This window comes from Homo sapiens, chromosome 12 (genome assembly GCF_000001405.40).
Source record: "Homo sapiens chromosome 12, GRCh38.p14 Primary Assembly".
NCBI lineage: Eukaryota > Metazoa > Chordata > Mammalia > Primates > Hominidae > Homo > Homo sapiens.
Window position 1 is genome coordinate 99,778,079 of NC_000012.12, and position 22,512 is coordinate 99,800,590.

At 36.9% G+C, this 22,512-nt stretch overlaps 1 protein-coding gene across 17 annotated transcripts in view; it reads right to left on the bottom strand.

The window, feature by feature from the left end:
* The window catches only part of ANKS1B (ankyrin repeat and sterile alpha motif domain containing 1B), a 1,250,151-nt gene that overhangs the window by 1,043,293 nt on the left and 184,346 nt on the right, over window positions 1-22,512 (bottom strand). For all 17 annotated transcript variants that reach the window (XM_006719514.5, XM_006719507.5, NM_152788.4 and 14 more), the window contains exons 5-6: window positions 3,944-4,019; window positions 1,793-1,894 (exon numbers count right to left, since the gene is read on the bottom strand). In XM_006719514.5, the coding sequence (XP_006719577.1) occupies window positions 1,793-1,894; window positions 3,944-4,019 (178 nt within the window). The remainder of the gene's footprint in view (window positions 1-1,792; window positions 1,895-3,943; window positions 4,020-22,512) is intronic.

The window sequence follows — 22,512 nt, forward strand, 5'->3', positions numbered from 1 at the left end:
AGTCCCAGCTACTCGGGAGGCTGAGGCAGGAGAATGGTGTGAACCGGGGAGGCAGAGCTTGCAGTGAGCCCAGAGGGCGCCACTGCACTCCAGCCTGGGTGACAGAGTGAGACTCCCTCTCAAAAAGAAAAAAAAAGTTCAGTGAGAGGCTGGGCGCTGTGGCTCATGCGTGTAATCCCAGCACTTTAAGAGGCCAAGGTGGCTGGATCACCTGCGTTCAGGAGTTGGAGACCAGACTGGCCAACATGGTAAAACCCCCTCTCTACTAAAAATACAAAAAGTAGCCAGACATGGCGGCAAGTGCCTATAATCCCAGCTACTTGGGAGACTGAGGCAGGAGAATCACTTGAACCCGGGAGGCGGAGGCTGCAGTGAGCCAAGATTGCACCACTGCACTCCAGCCTAGGCAATAAGAGCAAAACTCTTTCTCAAAAAAAAAAAAAAAAAAAAATTCAGTGAGAGTCAAAAGTCCAACATGAAATACAAAGTGCATAGAGGGAGAAGACTAATAAAAAATAGTATGTGCCACTCTTATTTTTTAGCTTTTATTCAATTTAATTTTAATTTTAATTTATATAAAAGGCTATGATGGGATTTTTCTCTGATTCATCTCTGCATGCATTTGACTTGTAATTAACTTCTTTATTGATAAGAAAATTGTAGGGGCATGAACTTCCCTGAAATATTTTGGAAATAGAGAAGAGAGCATAATGGCCACATATAGTGCATCTATTCCTTTTACTCCTCCTTGGCCTTTGTTGACTATTGTATCTACATGTTCCCTGCCTGACTTGGTTTTAATTCATTTATCTCCCTGCAAAACAATGCTGTTCTTCAGCTTCCCAACTGACACCTAATAAAACCTATCTCACCACCCTCCTCTATCATACTTGCAGCCAATCCATAACAAGTGTAGGAGATAATCACTGCTGAACAGGGTAGGAGCTAAAGGAGAGAAAAACATCTGGGGTTTTTAAGTAACATGCTACATGTCAGGCCTAATCACCAAACAGGAAGAGAAAGCATTTAAGTCTAATTTTGTTATAAAACTTTTAGTTCAAGTGGAGAAGTATGCAAGCTGCAAATAACAAAAGTCGTACCTAGACAGTTGTCAAACTTTCAATAGAGCTAATGACTGCCACTAACAACAAATGCACTTAAATGACTTTTACCAAAAACTAAGGCTGGTAAGACTGAGTTATTTTATACCATTGGATTAGGAAGGAAATAATCTGTATTCTTTTGGCTAAATACAATTTTTGTTATTATTGATAATCTAGCATTTAGATACAAGCTCTGCCACTTAAGATACATGAATTTGAACAAATCAAATCTCTCAGAGCCTCAGTTTCCCTTATGTGCAAAAGTAAAATAATATCTGACTTATGTTACTTCATAGGGTCATAGAAACCAAAGTAGTAGCAAATCCCTGAAAATGCTGAAAGTATTATTCAAATGTGAAATAACACTTAATCATCACTACTTTATAGCCTTATTAACTTCCAGCTCATAACTACATATTTACTACATAAATATGAATTTTAAAAATATTTCTATTATCAAATGAGTAAATAAATACCTTAACTTCTTTAAAATACTTACTGAGTAGTTGAAAAACAAAAATAAAACATTAAAAGGTATTATTATTTAGTTTAAAAGTCTACCAGAAAAAAATAAAACTAGTAAGTTTGTTCAAAAGTAAACACTAACTCAAAATCCAAAAGAAAACTGTAACAGTTTTAATCTCATCTTAACTTTAAGGCAAACTCATCCATCATTCAATACTGTTTACCTTGTAAGAGTGTTGCAATCTGGAGAGATTTCTGAGATGGATGTTCTTTCAGAATGTCCAAGACAGTTCTACCTAAGCTATCCTTTATGTTGGCATCAATTCCTGAAAGAAAAAGAAAAACTCACTAGATATACACCACTGAAGTATCCTCAAAAGATACTATCACTATCTAACTGCTGTAATTTCAGACATATACAGACCAAGCATTGAAAGTGATTTTTAAAAAATTAAGTTCTACACACACACATACACACACACATGCGCACACACACACACACTCACACAAGATTTTAGCAAGAAAGAAGGCAGGGGCCTGTTGCTACCAAAGATTAGGAACATTCTTGATCATCAATTAACTCTTAAAGGGCACTGACCCAATGTTTAAGATTGTTTTTCAGGACCCTATGATATCTTTTTTTTTTTGAGACGGAGTCTCACTCTGTTGCCCAGGCTGGAGTGCAGTGGCGCGATCTCGGCTCACTGCAAGCTCCGCTTCCCAGGTTCACGCCATTCTCCTGCCTCAGACTCCTGAGTAGCTGGGACTACAGGTGCCCACCACCATGCCCAACTAATTTTTTTTTTTTTGTATTTTTAGTAGAGACGGGGTTTCACTGTGTTAGCAAGGATGGTCTCGATATCCTGACCTCGTGATCTGCCCACCTTGGCCTCCCAAAGTGCTGGGATTACAGGCTTGAGCCACCACGCCCGGCTGACCCTATGGTATCTTTGGGTTATAACTATTTAACTCAACAGCACACTATCACACTGAAAAATATTATTGATTTAGAATGTGAATTCCTAAAGTATAATGGTCATGTGATTTATATTCTCTGTACAATATGGTAAAAATATTTAGTAAATTATAATCATGTACCATGTAAGTAACATAAGAACAGTCTTAGAACACTTGAATATTCACAAAGTTGAAAAAGCATGATTATTTTGAATTGTTGTCCACAAAGAATTTATCCAAATACAAGGTCAAATACTCTATGATATTTATTTATGCAAGATTGTATTTGTCAGTCACACTAATCATCCACCTGACGAGCAAACTTACTGAAGTGTGTAACTAAAACACCTGTTATTATTTTAGTTGTGGAAATATATATTGTAAGAAAGAACTTATTTTAACACAGCAAATAGCTTTCACTGCCCTAAAAATATTATGAATTTTCCAAACACATAATTGCAAAAAAAAAAAAAAAAGCCAGTTTACAGGATCTGGTCCCAAATGTTAGTTCATTGTAAGATTATTAAATACATGTTTAAATTTGCATAGGAATGTGTAACCAGCACATATTAATATTTAGGTGGTTTCCTCAAATCATTTGTTATATCACCACACTGCATGACAAAGTTAAATATAAATGAAATTTTAACTTTGTTAAATTGTGTACAAATACAATCACAATACAACAGTCTGCCAATGTTTTTCATTTTTTTTTACAGAGGAAAATAAACACACTATAGTCCATAACATGAAAAATTCCATCAGTTGTTTACAAGCATGAATTTGTACCCATGCCTTTTGATCTTTAAAACAAATCTGACCTTAATTCTAGCTCTATTTCATCTCAATCAGAATGCACATATGAAAATAAATAAGCCAACTTTATTGTTCCTTCAAAGCACTCCCTTTAAAAGGTTCCCTTTAAAATAAGTTTCTGTAGCCTACTAACAATAGCTACTCAGTTAATGAACTAACTAGAAGGACAATTTACCTTAAAGAGAGGGAACTCAAATCTCTGTTTACCGTAGTCCACAATATAAAACACAGAAAAACTATTATGTTCTTCAATAAATCAAGCAATTGTGAAAATTTCTCAAGGATCAATTCCTCTCTCTTACAGAAGGCAGAAATTTCCTTTTTCTTTTGGTAGTTCATCTCTAAAGTACTTAAGTGCATAAAATTGTAATAACAAAGAGGTTTGTACTTAAAACATCTATTGCATAAAAGAAGTTGCACATTGATATCAATGTTATCTAAATACTGAAACTCAGTTCTACATAATATGAATACATATCTGCATTTTAGAGTAAAGGCAAGAGGGTGATTTGTGAAGAAAACTGTGTCATTTTCCTTTGTCTATTCCCAAAATAGAAATGTTATCTGTCAGGATAAGCTCCATGCAGAATCACAATAGTTACCTGTTTCTAACAGAACTCGTACAACATCCACCTTTCCAAACAAAGCTGCTTCATGAAGTGCACTCCCCTTTTCTGTCTGGAAAAAAAAAAGTAAGAAAAAAGAAAGCACGGTTGCATTTGGAATGCTTACAGGTTGAAATAAAATGCTCACATTTTACATATTCATACATATTTGCTGTAATCTCAGCTCTCCCTAACAGAAAGGTCATGTGGAATAAAGAAGAGATTCTAAAAGCAAAATCCATCGGCTTGGGGATTGTAAAATACCTCTGCTTCTAAATAGAAATTTGGGCCAGATGCAGCTGAGGCGGATGGATCACCTGAGGTCAGGAGTTCGAGACCAGCCTGGCCAACATGGCAAAACCCCGTCTCTACTAAAATACAAAAATTAGCCACAGGTGGTGGTATGTGCCTGTAATCCCAGCTACTCAGGAAGCTGAGGCAGGAGAATCGCTTGAACTCAGGAAGCAGAGGTTGCAGTGAGCCAAGATCATGCCACTGCACTCCAACCTGGGTGACAGAGTGGGACTCCATCTCAAAAATAAATAAATAAATAGCCATTTGACTTTCTTATGTGAGTATTTCACCTTCTCTTAGCTTTAGCTCTCCTTAAGTATAAAATAAGAGAAGTAATGCCCACCTCACAAGGCTTTTGTGACTATGCAAGAAGCTCATTTAATCAGCATGCATTTATTAAACACCAATTATAGGCCAAGAGTAGCTGATGGATATTCTGAGGTATGGAAATATCATCCTGGCCCTCATATATTCACATTCTATTTGAAGAGACAGATGTATAAACACAGATGCTCCTTGACTTCCAATAGGGTTACCTCCTGATAAAGCCACCATAAACTGAGTATCCCTTAAATTGAAAATGCATTTAGGCTGGGCGCAGTGGCTCATGCCTGTAATCCCAGCACTTTGGGAGCCAAGGCAGGTGGATTGCCTAAGGCCAGGAGTTCAGGACCAGTCTGACCAACATGGTGAAACCCCATCTCTACTAAAAATACAAAAAAATTAGCCAGGCGTGGTGGCATGCACCTGTAATCCCAGCTACTCAGGAGGCTGAGACAGGGGAATTGCTTGAACCAGAAAGGTGGAGGTTGCAGTGAGCCGAGATCGCACCACTGCACTCCAGCCTGGGTGACAGAGTGAGAATCCATCGCAAAAAAAAAAAAAAAGAAAAGAAAAAGAAAAGAAAATGCATTTAAACACAGGTAACCTACCACCAAACATCATAGCCTAGACTAGCCTACTTTAAATATGCTCAGAACACTTACATTAACCTAGTGTTGGGCAAAATCATGTAACACAAAGCCTATTTTATGATAAAGCATTGACTATCTCATATACTGCATATCGCTAGCCTGAGAAAAGATCAAGATTCAAAATTTGAAGCATATCAAAAATGCGACAGTTTCACACCATTTTAAAGTCGAGAAATTGTTAAATTAAATCATTGTAAGTTGGGGGCTGTCTGTAAATATTTATGATAAATGAAATCTAAACAATTTAATGTAGCCATAAAAAAGAATAAAATCCTGTCATTCACAGCAACATGGATGAGCCTGGAGAATATTATGTTAAGTGAAATAAGTCAGGCACAGAAAGATAAATACCACATGTTCTCACATATGTGTGAGCTAAAAAAGTTGGACCCATAGAAGTAGAGAGTAACATTATGGTTATGAGAGGCTGGGCAGGGGAGCAGGGAGAGGAGGATAGGGAGAGGTTGGTGATTGACTGCGAAATTACAGCTATATAGGAGGAAGAAGTTCTAGTATTCTTTAGTAGGGTGATGATAGTTAACAATAATTGATTATATATTTTCAAATACTGGAAGAGAGGATTTTTTAATGTTCCCAACACAAATAAATGGCAAATGTTTAAGGTGATAGATATGCTAATTACCCTATCATTATATACTATATTTCATGTATCAAAATATCACTCTGTACCCCTAAATATGTACAATTATGACATGCAATTAAAAATAAAAATAAATTTAAAAGCCAAAAAAAATTTAATGTGGCTTAAGAAACCCAGATGATATTTTCTCCCTGCTTTCCTCTCCGTCCCATCCTTTGCCCATCACAACCCTCTTCCAAACCTCATACCCTATGCTCCAGGCATACTGAACTTTCTTTTTTTTTTTTTTTTTTTTTGAGACGGAGTCTCGCTCTGTGGCGCAGGCTGGAGTGCAGTGGCACGATCTCAGCTCACTGCAAGCTCCGCCTCCAGGGTTCACACCATTCCCCTGTCTCAGCCTCCCGAGAAGCTGGGACTACAGGCTCCTGCCACCACACCCAGCTAATTTTTTTGTATTTTTAGTAGAGATGGGGTTTCATCATGTTAGCCAGGATGGTCTCGATCTCCTGACCTCATGATCCACCCGTCTTGGCCTCCCAAAGTGCTGGGATTACAGGCGTGAGCCACCGCGCCTGGCCCCTGAACACTTTCATAATCATTTCATATTGCTTTCTTCCACAGGGGGTCTCCAAGGCTGGTCTCTCTGCCTGGCAGGATCTAACTCCTAGCACTCTTAATCTAGCCATCTAGATATACCTACCACTAGTTAATTTTCAGCATGAATAAGAACCATGTGGAGAAACTGTCTTAAAAACATACTTCTGGGCCCCATCCCCAGAGTTTCTGATTCAGTCGCCTGAGATTAGGCCATAGAATTTCCATTTCTAACAAATTCCCCTGTGATTCTGTAGGTCTAAAGAGTATGCTTTAAGAACCATAAACATGTACGATATCTCGAATCTTAGCTTAAAATAATTGCATTTATAAAGACATCCCTGACCCCTGAAGTTTAGTGTTTTTCCTGGATGTTCCACATCAATCTATATTTTCCTTATCACAGCACTCATATACCACATTATAATTTTATGTAATTGTCTGGTTCCCATAATAAACTGTAAGTTCAGCGGAAATGTAGGCCACATCTATTTTTTCACCATTGTATCCCCAATGCCTAGCAAAGTACTTTGAAAATATAGATGTTTAGGAATTTTTCTGAGGGCAAGAAGTGGAGGGAGGGAAGAACACAGGATGAAAAACTAGGACAATTTGTGAGTAGTGCAGGATAAGACTGATTCTGCCTTCAGGAAGCTCAAGGAAGATTCCAAAGATGAAGCTTTTTGAGCTACACGAATGTTAGTTGTCTCTTTTTTTTTTTTTTCATTCTTTTTCTTCTTCTCTCAAGAATCTAACAAGTATCAGTAGGTCGTGTGTGTGTGTGTGTGTGTGTGTCTGTGTGTCTGTGTGTGTTTTCAATTGAATAGTGTCAAGGTAGCAATTTTGTTGCCCTATACTAAATGTGATCTCTAAAGTGGGATTCTAATCTCAACCTGAAATAGAAATATCACTATAAAATAACATACAATGTAAAAACTCTTTTTTTTTTCTGTTTTTCTTTTTTGAGATGGAGTCTTGCTCTCTCGCCCAGGCTGGAGTGCTGTGGCATGATCTCAGCTCACTGCAACCTCCGTCTCCCAGGTGCAAGCGATTCTCCTGCCTCAGCTTCCCAAGTAGCTGAGATTAAGGCATGCGCCACCACGCCCAGCTAATTTTTGTATGTTTAGTAGAGAGGGGCTTTCACCATGTTGACCAGGCTGGTCTTGAACTCCTGACCTCAAATGATCCGCCCACGTCAGCCTCCCAAAGTGCTGGGATCACAGGCATGAGCCACTGCGCCTGGCCAAAACTCTTTAATAAAAGTCTATTATATAATTAACCCAATCTAAAGTAGATAAGTACATTATTAAGCAGGCTTGAGGAACACTGAATATCAATGTGATCTGACTGTATCTTCAAGATGGAATGACTGAAATGCCCTTGAATTATAATCTGACTGGCATGATATGTAGATACTGAAAAAAATGGAAACAAAAAAATAATTTGTAAATATACAGCACAGTTTTGAAGGAAATGAGAAACTGGAAACTGATTCGGCTCTTAAGAAAATATTTCAATGTGGGGCATGAACATTTTATTTTTTCCCTTCCTTAAAAATATTCCTTGAAATAATCTAATTTTGCTCATTCTCATGCTGTTTTTCAACCAGATTTCTGATTACTAATTTGATTCCCTTACACTTTTCACAAAATTTTGGACTTGATTTCAGATAAATCCTTCCTGATATAGCATACTTCAGTTCATTCTGAAAACAAACCAAAGAATATTTTAATTCAGGATTGCGAGGGGAAAGAAATAGAATTCCCCACAGCCTTAGGGAAAGGCGAGGACAGAAAGTATGAACCCCAGGGGGTTAGCTTTGGAACAGGTATTTGTTCCAGGGAGTCTGTCAACCAATGCTAGACTAGTGCCTGGACTTTAACCAGCCACTCAAGGTACGAGTGGCAGTGGGGCAGAAGACAGTCTGAAGTCTAAGCAAGCTGAAAGTTTAAATGAGGGACCCCTACAAAACTCTAAAACTTCTAAAGAACATCCTCAGTGAAAATTAAAACAACAACAACAACACATTGCACAGAAGGGGAAAGGATGTCTAACTAGGTCTTAGTTGTAGATAGAGTGAAAAAAGTAAATCCCCCTAAGAATGCCTAACCACAATTCTACACTCACATGGTAAGTTTAAGGCAAAATTGTACAATCTCTATGAACTCCAGATCCTCATCCAAAATGTAGAATAAAGTGGTCCTGGGTTTCTAGTAATACAGGCAGATATAAATGCTTAGAAAAAAGCAGATATAAATCCCCTCTGTAAAAGTACACTTTCAACTCAGGCCTCCAAATATTCCAGCAGATGAAGCTCTAAGAAATACAAATTCAAAATTATAAATTACTGAATGTGAAAGGAAGCATCCCACCATGAACAAGGATTAGTAAATAAAAATACAAAAGAATAAAACTCACAAAAATTTCACATATTGAAATGGTCAGGTATAGAATATAATACATATGTGATAAATAAGATGAAAGAACTAGAACAAAAGAATAATTATCAAAATTGACCAGATGTGAAAATGAATCAAATAGCATTCTAGAAATAGAAAATATAATATTTAAAATCAATGGCTTAATAACATATAAATAGCTATTGAAGGGGTATTAAACTGGATGATAGATTTTTTTAAGTACATAATTGATAGGGTTTGGCTATGTCCCCATCCAAATCTCATCTTGAATTTTAGTTCCCATAATCTTCATGTGTCATGGGAGAGACCGGCTGGGAGGTAATTTACTCATGGGGGCAATTACCCTCATGCTGTTCTCATGATAGTGAGTTCTCACAAGATCTAATGGTTTTATAAGGAGCTTTTCCTCCTTTGGCTCGGCACTTCCTCTTGCCTGCCACCATGTAAGATGTGACTTTGCTCCTCCTTCACCTTCCACCATGATTGTGAAGCCTCCCCAGCCATGTGAAACTATAAGTCAATTAAACCTCTTTCCTTTATAAATTACAACCTCAGGTATGTCTTTATTAGGAGACATACTAATAGGAGACTTAATTAGGAGAACAGACTAATACAATAATGCAATAAAAAGAATAAGAGATGAAGGACAGAGCAAAATTGCAGAATATAAGCCTACATCATTTGTCTTCCCCACTGGAACACCGAATATTAACAACTATCTGCACACAGAAGAGCATTGTCACAAGAACCAAAAATCAAGTGAACAATCACAGTATCTGGTTTTAACTTCCTACTGCTGAAATAGACACTGAGGAGGGTGGAAGAGAAAGTCTTGAATCACGGGCGCTGCCCCTCTCCCATTCCATGGCAGTGGCCATGCTGTGCAGATAGAAAATCTGTGCATTTTAGGAAGGGAGAAAGCAGTGACTGAGGAACTTTACATTGAACTCAGTGCTGCTTTGCCAGAGTGGACAATAAAGCTGTGTGGGGTTCCGCCAGTGCCCACACATTGAGGGGACATTTGCACCAGCCCAGCCAGAAGGGAATCACCCATGGAATGTGAGTCTCTCAACAAGCCTCACCACTGCACTGCAGGCTGAAGTGCTCTGGGATCCTCAGTAAACTTGAAAGGCAGTCTAGGACACAAGGACTGCAATTCCTAGGCAAATCCTAGTGCTAGGCTAGGCTTAGAGCCAGTAGACAAGATTGGCGCATGACCTAGGGAGACAGCGGCAGATATGGCTAACGAAGTGCCTATGCCATTCCTCCACCAACCTCAGGCAGTGCAAGTGCAATTCACAACAACAAAAGTAACTTTTCCCTTCTATTTAAGGAGAGGAGAGTGAAGAGTAAAGAGGACTTTGTCTTGCATCTTAGATGTCAGCTCAGCCATAGTAGGACAGGGCACTGGGCAGAGTTGTGAAGCCCTAAATCCTGGACATTTCTAGATGTACCTTGGGCCAAAAGGGAACCCACTGCCTTGAAGGAAAGAACCCAGTCCTGGCAGGATTCATCACCTGCTGACTAAAGAGCTCTTGGAGCCTAAATAAGCAGCAGCAATAACTGGGAGTACACCATGGGCCTTGTTGTCTGAGAAATGCTGGCTTCAAGGGTCATCCAGCACAGTCCCAGCTGTGGTGGCTACGGTGAACAACTTCTTCTGTTTGAAAACAGCAGAGGGAAAAGTAAAGGGGCCTTTGCCTTGCACCTAAGGTACCACTTCGGCCACAGTAGGAAAAAACAAGCAGGCACACGGGGTCTCTGCGTTCAGGCCTAGGCTCTTGGACAACATTTCTGAATCTGTCCTGGACCAGAGGGGAGCCTACTGCCCTATAGGGTGAGTCTGAGGCCTGGCAGGACTCACCATAAGCTGACAAAAGAGCCCTTGGGCTTTAAGTAAACATTGGCAGTGACCTAGAAGAACCCTCGTGGACCAGAAGTGGTGGTGGCCACAGGGAGAGTCTCCTCTGCCTGTGGAAAAGGGAAGAAAGAGTAAGAAGGACTTTGTAATGAAGTGTGAGTGCCAATTTAGCTGCAGTAAATTAGAACATCAGGTAAACTGCTAAGGTTTTTGACTCTAATCCTTGGCTTCCAGACAGCTACTCTGGACATGCCCAGGGTCTGGGGGAACTCACTGCCCTGAAGATTAGGATACAGTGCTGAGCTGGCTTCAGGTCTGACCCAACACAATCCCAGTGGTGGTTTCCGAAGGGGTGTTTGCATCACCACACCCCCAGGTACAGGTGGCTCAGCACAGAAAGACAGACTCTGTTTCTTTGAGAGAAAGGAGAAAGAAGAGTCTCTGCCTAGTAATACATAGAATTCTTCCACATCTTATCCAAGACCACCAAGGCAATACCTCTATGAGTCTGCAAAAACCACAGTGTTAGTGGGTTTGGGGCCCAAGTCCCTTCAAATGCCTGGAAAGTCTTCCTAAGAAGGACAGATACAAACAGGTCCAGACTGTGAAGACTACAGTCAATATCTAACTCTTCAATGCCCAAACATCAAGACCATCCAAGAAAACATGACCTCACCGAATGAATTACATAAGGCACCAGGGACAAGTCCTGGAAAAAAAATAGATATATGATCTTTCAGACAGAGAATTCAAAATAGCTGTTTTGAGGAAACTCAAAGAAATTCAAGATAACACAGAGAAGGAATTCAGAATTCTATCAGATAAATTTAACAAAGAGATTGAAATAATTAAAAAGAATCAAGCAAAAGTTCTAGAGTTGAAAATTGCAATTGATGTAATGAAGAATGCATTAGAGTCTCTTAAGAGCAGAATTAGTCAAGAAGAAAAAATTAACGAGCTTGAAGACAGGTATTCGAAGACACACTGAGAGTCTACAGCCATACCGCCCCAAACGCACCCAATCTCATCTGAAAACACACTGAGAAGACAAAATAAAAAAAGAATAAAAAGCAATGAAACCTGCTTTCAAGATCTAGACAACAGTCTCAAGAGGGCAAATCTAAAAGTTACTGGCCTTAAAGAGGAGGTTGAGAAATAGTTAGGGGTAGAAGGTTTATTCAAAGTGATAATATTGGAGAACTTCCCAAACCCAGAGAAAGATATTAACATTCAAAGACAGGAAGGTTATAGAGCACCAAGCAGATGTAACCCAAAGAAGGCTACTTCAAGGCATTTAAGAATCAAACTCCCAAAGGTCAAAGATAAATAAATAATCCTAAAAGCAGTAAGAGAAAATAAACAAATAACATACAATGGAGCTCCAATATATCTGGCAGCAGACTTTTCAATGGAAATCTTACAGGTCAGGAGAGAGTGGCATGACATATTTAAAGTGCTGAAGGAAGAAAACTTTTACCCTAAAATGGTATATCTGGCAAAAATATCCTTCAAGCATGAAAGAGAAATAAAGACCTTCCCATACGAGCAAAATCTGAGGGATTTCATCAACACCAGGCCTGTCTTGCAAGAAATGCTAAAGGGAGTTCTTCAATCTGAAAGAAAAGGAAATTAATAAGCAATAAGAAATCATTTGAAGGTGCAAAACTCACTGGTAATAGCCCACAGAAAATCCAGAATAACCCTGTAATTACGGTGTGAAAACTACTTTTATCTTAAGTAGAAACACTAAACAATGAACCAAAAAATAATGACTACAATGAATTTTCAAGACACAGAGAATGAAATAAGACATAAAGAGAAACAACAAAAAGTTAAAAAGTTAGGTGGCAAAGTTAAACTGTATAGTTTTTATTAGTTTTCTTTTTGTGTGTTTGTTTGTTTATGCAATCAGTGTCATCATCAGTTTAAAGTAATGGGTTATAAGGTAGTATTTGCAAGCCTCATGGTAGCTTCAAATAAAAAAACATACAATGGGTACGCAAAAAAATTAAAAAGCATGAAATTAAAGCCTACTGCCAGAGAAAATCACCTTCACTAAAAGGAAGACAGGAAGAAAGGAAAAAAGGAAGAGCAGACCGCCAAAAAAAGAGAGCGAGAGAAAAAAATAACAAAATGACAGGAGTAAGTCCTTACTTATCAACAATAACATTAAATGTATATGGAGTAAACTCTCCAATCAAAAGACATAGAGTGGCTGAATAGATAAAAAACAAAACCCAATGATCTGATGCCTACAGGAAGCACATGTTACCTATAACGATACACACAGATTAAAAATAAGTGGATGAAAAAAGTATTCCATGTCAACAGAAACCAAAAAACCACAAGAGTAGCTATACTTATATTAGGCAAAATAGGTTTTAAGATAAAAATTGTAGGAAAAGACAAAGAAGGTCATTATATAATGACAAAGGGGTCAATTCAGCAAGAGGATATTACAATTGTAAATATATATGCACCAAACACTGGAGTACCCAGATATATAAAGCAAATATTATTAGTGCTAAAGGGAAAGATAGACCTAAATACAATAATAGCTGGAGACTTCAACTCCCCACTTTCAGCATTGGATAGATCTTCCAGACAGAAAATCAACAGATAAACATTGGTCTTAATCTGCACTTTAGAAAAAATGGAACATTTTATCTGATGGCTGCAAAATACATATTCTTCTCCTCAGCACATGGATCATTCTCAAGGACAGACCACATGTTAGGTCACAAAACAAATTTTTAAACATTTTTTAAAAATGAAAAAATATCAAGCATCATCCCTGACCACAATGGAATAAAACTAGAAATCAATAACAAGAGAAATTTTGGAAACTATGCAAACAGACAAAAATTAAACAATATGCTCCTGAATAAGTGGGTCAATGAAGAAATCAGAAAGAAAATTTAAAAATTCCTTGAAATAAGTTCATGGAAACACAGCATACCAAAACCTATGGGACACAGCAAAAGCAGTACTAAGAAGAAACTTTATAGCCATCAATGCCTACATCAAAAAGGAAGAAAAACTTAAAATAAATAATCTAATGATGCATCTTAAAGAATTTAAAAAGCAAGAGCAAGCTGAATGCAAAATTAAGAGAAGAAAAGAAATAATAAGGATCAGAGCAGACATAAATGAATTTGAAATGATTAAAAAAAGACAACAGATCAACAAAACAAGAAGTTGTTTTGAAAAGAAAAACACAATTGACAAACCTTTAGCCAGACTAACACAAGAGAGAAGACCCAAATAAATGAAATCAGAAATGAAAAAGGAGACATTACAACTAATATCACAGAAATTCAAAGGATCATGAGTGGCTGATATGAACAACTACATACCAATAAATGGAAAAATCTAGAAGAAATGGATAAATTCCTACATACATACAATCTACTAAAATTGAACCATTAACAATTCCAAAGCCCAAACAGACGAATAACAAGTAACAAGATCGAAGCCATAATAAAAAGTCTCCCAGTAAAGAAAAGTGCAGGACCGATGACTTTGCTGATGAATTCTACCAAACATTTAAAAAACTAATACCAATCCTATTCAAACTGTTCTGAAAAATAGGGGAAGATGGAATACTTACAAACCCATTCTACAAGGCCAGTATTAATCTGATACTATACCCCAAGACACACCAAAAAAAGAAAACTATAGGCCAATATCTCTGATTACTATTGATGTAAAAATCCTCAACAAAACTCCAACAAACCAAATTCAACAACAAATTAGGATTTATCCCTGTGATGCAAGGATGGTTCAACATATGCAAATCAATCAATGTGATACCCTGTATCAACAGAATGAAGGACAAAAAACATTATCATTTTGACTAATGCTGAAAACATATTTGATGCAGTCCAACATCCCTTCCTGTTTTAAAAAAAAATAGTCAAAACACCTCAATGTAATAAAATCCATATATGACAGACTCACGACTAGTATCATACTGAATGGGGGAAAACTGAAAGCCTTTCCTCTAAGACCTGGAATACAACAAGAACACCCACTTTCACCACTGTTACTCAAAATAGAACTGGAAGTCCTAGCTAGAGCAATTAAACAAGAGAAAGACATAAAGGGCATCCAAATTGGAAAGGAAGAAGTCAAATTATCCTTGTTTGCAGATAATACAATCTTATATTTGGAAAAACCTAAAGACTCCACTGAAAAACTATTAGAACTGATAAACAAATGTAGCAACGTTGCAGGATACAAAATCAACATACAAAAATCAGCAGCATTTCTATATGCCAACAGTAAACAATGTGAAAAAGAAAATTTTAAAAATCCCATTTACAGTAGCCACACATAAAACTAAATACCTAGGAATTAACCAAATAAATGAAAAATCTCTACAATGAAAACTGTAAAATACTGATGAAAGAAATTGAAGATGACATCAAAAATGGAAAGATATTCCATGCTCATGAATTGGAAGAATCAATATTGTTAAAATGTCCATACTAACCAAAGCAATCTACAGATTCAATGCAATACCTATCAACATACCAATGACATTTTTCACAGAAATGGAAAACCAATCCCAAAATTTATACAGAATCACCAAATACCCAGAATAGCCAAAGCAAACCTGAGCAAAAAGAATAAAACTGAAGGAATAACATTACCTGACTTCAAATTATACTACAAATCAGAATGGTACTGGCATAAAATCAGACACATAGACCAATGGAACAAAATAGAAAACCTAGAAACAAATCTACACACCTACAGTGAACTCATTTTCGACAAAAGAGCCAAGAACATACACTGGTGAAAAGACAGTCTTCAATAAATGGTGCTGGTAAAACTAAATATCCATATGCAGAACAATGAAACTAGACTCCTATCTCTCACAATATACAAAAATCAAATCAAAATGGATTAAACATTTGAATCTAAGGCTTCAAACTCTGAAACTGCTACCAAAAAACTTTGAGAAAAATCTCCAGGATATTGGTCTCGGCAAAGATTTCTTGAGTAATACCCCACAAGTACAAACAACCAAAGCAAAAATGGACAAATGGGATCATATCAAGTTAAAAAGCTTCTGCACAGCAAAAGAAACAATCAACAAAGTGAAGAGACAACCCACGGAATAGGAGAAAATATTTGCAAACTACTCATCTGACAAGAGATTAATAACCAGAATATATAAGGAACAAAAAAACTTTACAGGAAAACATCTAATAATACAATTAAAATATTGGCAAAACATTTGAATAGACATTTCTCAAAAGAAGACACATAAATGGCAAACAGGTATATGAAAAGGTGTTCAGCATCATTGATCATCGGAGAAATGCAAATCAAAACTGCAAAGAAATGTCACCTCACCCCAGTTAAAATGGCTTTTATCCAAATGTTAAGCAATAACAAATGCTGGTGAGGATGTGAAAACAAGGGAATCCTATATACTGTAGGTGGGAATGTGAATTAGTACAACCACTATGAAGAACAGTTTGGAGGTTCCTCAAGAAACTAAAAATAGAGCTACCAAATGATCCAGCAATCCCACTGCTGGATATCTACCCCAAAGAAAGGAAATCAGTATTTTGAAGAGATATTTACAATCTCATGTTTGTTGTGGCACTGTTCACAATAGCCAAGATTTGGAAGCAACCTAAGTGTCCATCAACAGATGAAAGGATAAAGAAAATGTGGTACACACACACACACACACACACACACACACATTTTCTTGGAGTACTATACAGCCACAAAAAAGAATAAGATTCTGTCATTTGCAACAACATGGATGGAACTGGAGATCATTATATTAAGTGAAATAAGCCAGGCTCAGAAAGACAGACATCACATGTTCTCAGTTATTTGTGAGATCTAAAAATCAAAACAATTGAACTCACAGAGATAAAGAAGGGTGGTTACCAGAGGCTGGGAAGGGTAGTGGGGGCACAGGGGTTAGAGGGAGGTGGGGATGGTTAAAGCGTACAAAAAATAGAAAGAATGAATAAGACCTAGTATTTGATAGCACAACAGGGGCACTATAATCAATAATAATTCAATTGTACATTTAAAAATAAATAATTGTAACACAAAAGATAAATGCTTGAGGGGATGGATACTCAATTTTCCATGATGTGATTATTGTACATTGCATACATGTACCAAAATATCTCATGAACCCATAAATATATATACCTACTATGTATCCACAAAAATTTTACATTTAAAATTTTTTAAATGACTACAGAAACAAATAAGCAAAGAAGGTAAAAAAGAAATAAGAGATGGAAAATATGAAAGATAGAATAAAATAAGAGGATTCAACATATGTCTAATCAATTTTAGAGGAAGAAGATAGAGGTAAATAATAGTCAGTGGCTAAGAACTTTACATAATTGATAAGACACTAAGTTCCAGGACCAGCAAGCAAGATAAATGAAAAGAATACATCCTGGACATATCACAGTAAAACTACAAAACTACTAAGATAATAACTTTAAGACACTCTGAGGGAAAAAATTGCCTAAAAAGAAATAATAATTAGATCAATAGCGGACTTCACAACAAAAATAAATAATAAAGTCAGAAGAAAGTATAATACCTTCATGTGACAAGAGAAAAAAAATCTATCAACCTAGCATTCTACATTCAGTCAAACTACCTTCTAAAAATGAGAGTAAAATAAAAACATTTTCAGACAGACTAAAAATGAGTGGTTACTTACAACTCTTACTGAAAGAACTTCTATAGGATATAATTCAGAAAAGGAACTGAGATGCAAGAAGTAATGATAAATAAAGAGAATGGTTAATATGAGGCTAAATCTAAACAAATATTTAAAAATATGATAGTGTCTACTTTTGGCACTGATTTGGCTTCACAGATACTTTGATAAAGGATGATGCACACTGTAGACACGGAAAAGGTCCCACTTTATACACAGGGAATATATTCCAAGCACCCCAGTGGATGTCTAAAACCAAAGATAGTACTGAACCCGAATGCCATCAATCAGAATTCATTTCTGTTCATGTCTTCCATCCACAAATTCAAGGCCTTTTCCATCTTAACTAAGCACTTACCGTGCACTATAGCTGTAACTTCTGTAGTTTGAGGTGCAACAGCAAAACTAGTACAAATTTCTTTTTCTTTCTTCTCAACTTCAGATAGAGGATTCATTCTTACCATAGATCTTAGCAACCTCTGTGTACAAGTTTTTCTTTTCTTTAGTAAGTCAAGAACTTTCACCTTTTCACTTAGAGGAAGCACTTTACAGCTTCTCTTTGGAATATGCAAATTGTCAGCATCACTGCTCTTGTGCTTTGGGGCCATTATTAAGTAAAATATGGGTGACTTGAACCCAAGCAGTGCAATACCAGAACAGTCGATCTGATAATCAAGAGGGCTACCAATAGGCAAGTAGTGTCTACAGCACAGAGATGCTGGACAAAGGGATGATTCATGTCCCAGGCAGGACAAAGTATGATGGTGAGAGTTTTCATCATGCTACTCAGAATGGCATGGAATTTAAAACTTATAAGTTGTTTATTTCTATAATTTTCCTTTTAATGTTTTCAGACCATGGTTGACTGCAGGTATCTGAAACAGCAGAAAACTAAACATCAGATAAAGGTTGGGTGGGCGGCAGGGGTAGGGGGAACTATTATATTCTAGACAATGAAAATACATAATCTCCACCATAAATAAACAAATCTCTTTCTGGAAAAAGCAGATGGAGCAAACCTGGGTTCCAGTGGCAGCTTGGCTTTTAGTATCTCTGAAAATTCATATATCCTATGAGAAACATATTAAAAACCTAACAGATACATCCATGTTGTGTGGGAAAAATTAAAAATAAAATACAAATTTTAAAAACCTAATATGGTTATTGGGAAGGTTAAATAAGATAAACATACAACAAATAAGATTTTTTAAGTGTTTTATTAAACTATAAAGTAATGACAAGTATTATCAATAATATTTCTATTAAAAAAGCAATTAGAAAACCTATTTTAAAAGTAACCTCAATTATGTTAATATTAATTACATACATGTATATCCTTTACATTATTCCAAGATAAAAATGCTATGTTAAGTAGAACTAATGTTTTCATACAATAAGAAGACACAGAATTCTTCAATAAAAACAGAAAAGGTTAGTAGATGATAAACATATTTTTAGCCTGTAAAAATGAATCTGTTTTTACAAATTCAAGGTTGCTGTAATTAGCTTCTTTGGTAAGAGAACATGAGAACTGTCAAATGGAATGGATTGGTCTCATAATTCTAAGGTAAACAATGGTACCAAGAACTATTTACTGCTATCACAATGTTGTCACATAGTGTACAGAATGTAAATATGTCAAACCCATGGACTTTTCAAAATATAGATTAATTTTGTAATAATTTCCTTCTTTTCATCAGAGATTAGAAAAATTTAAGAATATTTTGCCAAGGTGTAAAGTAAGATTTAAAAAAAAATCAAGTGCCTTGTGGCTTATCACACCCTAGACAGAGTCCGTGTCTAATTGTCTAATATTCTCACTCAAATGAGCACTATTCTGTACATCTCAGCATTCTGCCCCAAATCTACAACCCATAACCGGCCAGACCTTGAAAAATTCTATTCTTGTGAAATATTTAGTCCAAAACATTTTACAAGAAAGTAGGAAGTCTACAAAGAAACAACACTGAACAAGGTGAACCCAAAGGCTCCCATCCCTGGAGATTTCAGTCCTGCTTTTCTTATGGATCAAAATTCTCCATTTTATTTAAATTAATCATTTAAAAAAAACAAAATTTCCAAAATCGATAATCATGCAGTTTATAACACAGTGACATTTCAAAACTTATCCAGTAACCACACATAAAGCACTCATAACATCTCAGCACCTTTTAGGGGAAAAAAAAAAGACAAACCTCTGAACACAGTGATGAAAACAGCTGAGCGAAAAGTACTGAAATGATATATATGTTAACATCAATAACTGAATTGTTGATGAAAGCAAAAGAAATTCTCTCATTGATTGGAAATGCCTGTTAAAGTCAAGCCTTGGTAGCACCAAAGCTGAGAAAAACAAGATAAGTCGCAAGCAAAAGGGAGAGAAGATGACGTTCATGTTTACAGCCCTGGGTTTCAGCTTCCCTTCTTTTTGGCGTTATATATTTCTGTGACTTCCATGGAAGCTCAGTTGTGCATTTAAAGGGATGTTTGTTATATTTTATCCAAAATTTCTAGATGTTTTAAAGTCGTTTTTAGGTTATCTATTCTACCAGAGTGCCAAAACAGCAGATGGAAAAGGGATGCAAAGATGTCAGAGCTTAGCTGCACTGGTTTCCCCTTCCAAATTTAGCACTCCAACCATAATTATCCTGAAGCCTGCGAAAGAGAATAATGAGATAAAGACCGATTCTTGATTAAAGGAGAAAATAAAGATAACAATTATGATAAGCAATAATGATTGTGGTGACGATCAGCAGAGAAAATAGCACAGATAGCATAAAACTGTGAGAAGCAAGACCCACAACTATTGTAACAACTGGTAAATAAAGATAACCTTACTGGAGATGAAGAAAAAACAACTAGAATGGCATTTAACTCAGAAATAAAATTCCCTAGTACCCTGTTTGGTACTTAGCCACGTGGGCACCTCTTGGAATTAAAAAAAAAAAAAAAAAAAACAAAAGATAACAACTCAACTTAGTGTTTGACAACAAACATATGATGTCTGAACAAGTTGGAAGGCAGCAGCTCTTTTGCATTATCTAGACCATATCTAGAGGAGTATGTTCAATTGTGGGTATCTAACTTTTAGGACCAATGACAGAATACAATGTGTCCAGAGAAGAGAGTGCCAAAGAATAAAGGACCTAGAAAAACATCGTGTGAAGAATAAAGGTTATAAGAATGTTTAAACTGGGAGGAAAATGGCACAAGAGAAATATGACATGTCTTCAAATAATTCAGAATACCATTGTTGCTATTCAAAAGAAGAAATCTCCCTCTATTAAACTAGGGACTTCAAGTCTTGGTCTTTACTCATTCTCTCTTCCTTCACTTCATATCAAAGGAAGCACCCTTCTTTTCATTAACATTATTTCTCCACTTGTGCTCTTTATTCTATCACTTTCTGCTGCTTCTTGAATTTTGATCATCTCTGCCTCTTGCATCTTCAAGGCAATCTTTCTCCATAAACATACACACCTTTCCACTATTTAAAAACAAAACAAACAACCAAAGAAACTTCCTGTGAACCTGCTTTCACTTCAAGCTTCTATCCGCTATCTTACTTTTCTTTATTCCACGCTTTATGAAAAGTCATCTTCCCTCTTTTAGGCACAATTTTTGCCTAGTTTTGTTACTGCTATATCCTCTGGCACATAGTAGGCACTCAATAAATATATGATAAATGAATTGATTACATGAAATTGTGCTGTCTTGGCATTCCTCTTTTAACTGCTTCTTTACAGACCTTTTTCCAGAAACTCCCTGAATATTCTTTAATCAGCCTCTTCTGTCTCCCTACATTCTGTTTCTTGTAAGCCCTTCTATCTCATGGCTTCATCTCTTACTCCTCTGAGGCTAGCCTCTTAGAAAGTTAGCCTCATTTAAGGAGCACATCCAAAGAGAGACCTCTCTGACCCTTCCGTCTCAATCACAGCACCCAGTTTGTTTCCATTATAGCACTCACTGCAATTTATCATTTTTATGTTGTTTATGTGCTTATTTTCTGTCATCCCTACTAGTCTATAACTCCATGGGAGCAGGAAACAAATTTTCTTCCTCCTGGAGCATAGTGCCTGGTAGCATGGCATGAGAAGTCAGGAGGGGCTAGGGTATCCTCATAGGGAAGCCAGGGTTCAGTTAAAAGTGAAAGAAAGGGAGTTGCTTGGGTAGTGAGTAAGGTAAGTAAAGGAAGGCCTCACTATTAAGGTGACATTGGAGAAGACACCTGAGGAAAGAAGGGGGAAGAAAGTCATGAGGGTTAGTAAGGCAGAGGCCTGGAGGTAGGAGTGTACATAATGTGTTCCAACAAGAACAACAAGGTCACTGTGGATGAAGCTAAGTGAAGAAGGGCAAAGAAGAGTAGGTGGTAGCTTTAGAGAGACAGTGAAACTAAGTAATATAAAACCCTATCAGACACTATAAGGACTCTGGCTTTTCCTCTGAGTGAAATGGAAAACCAATAGAAGTGTTTTTGAGTAGGAAAATGAAATTACCTGACTGAATGGGATCACTTCTGGCTGTTTGACTGAAAATAGACTGAAGGGAATATGTTATGGATTGAATATCTGTGTGCCCCAAAACTCACATGCTAAGGCCCTAACCTCCAGTGTGACTGTATTTGGATATATGGCCTTTCTGGAAGTAGTTAAGGTTAAATTGGGTCATAAGGGTGTGGCCCTAATCCAATGGAACTGGTGTCCTTATAAGGGAAAGAGGAAACATCAGGGAACTCTCTCTCCATTCACGCACAGAAGAAAGGCCGTGTGAGGATATAACAAGAAGGCAGCCATCTAACAAGCCAGGAAGAAAGCCCTCACTCAGGAATGGAATTGGCCGGAACTTGATCTTGGACTTTGTAGCCTCCAGAATTGTGAGAAAATAAATTTCTGTTGCTTAAGCCACTCAGCCTATAATATTTTGCTGTGGCAACCTAAGCAGACAATACAGAAGCCAAAAAAAAAAAAAAAAAAAACGGAGGAAAACTAGTCAGGAAGCAAGAGATGATTAGGTCTTGGACTATGGTGTTAATCTTGAAGATAATGTAAAGTAGTGAAATTCTGGATACAATTTGAGCACAGAACCAATAGGATTTGCTGAAGAA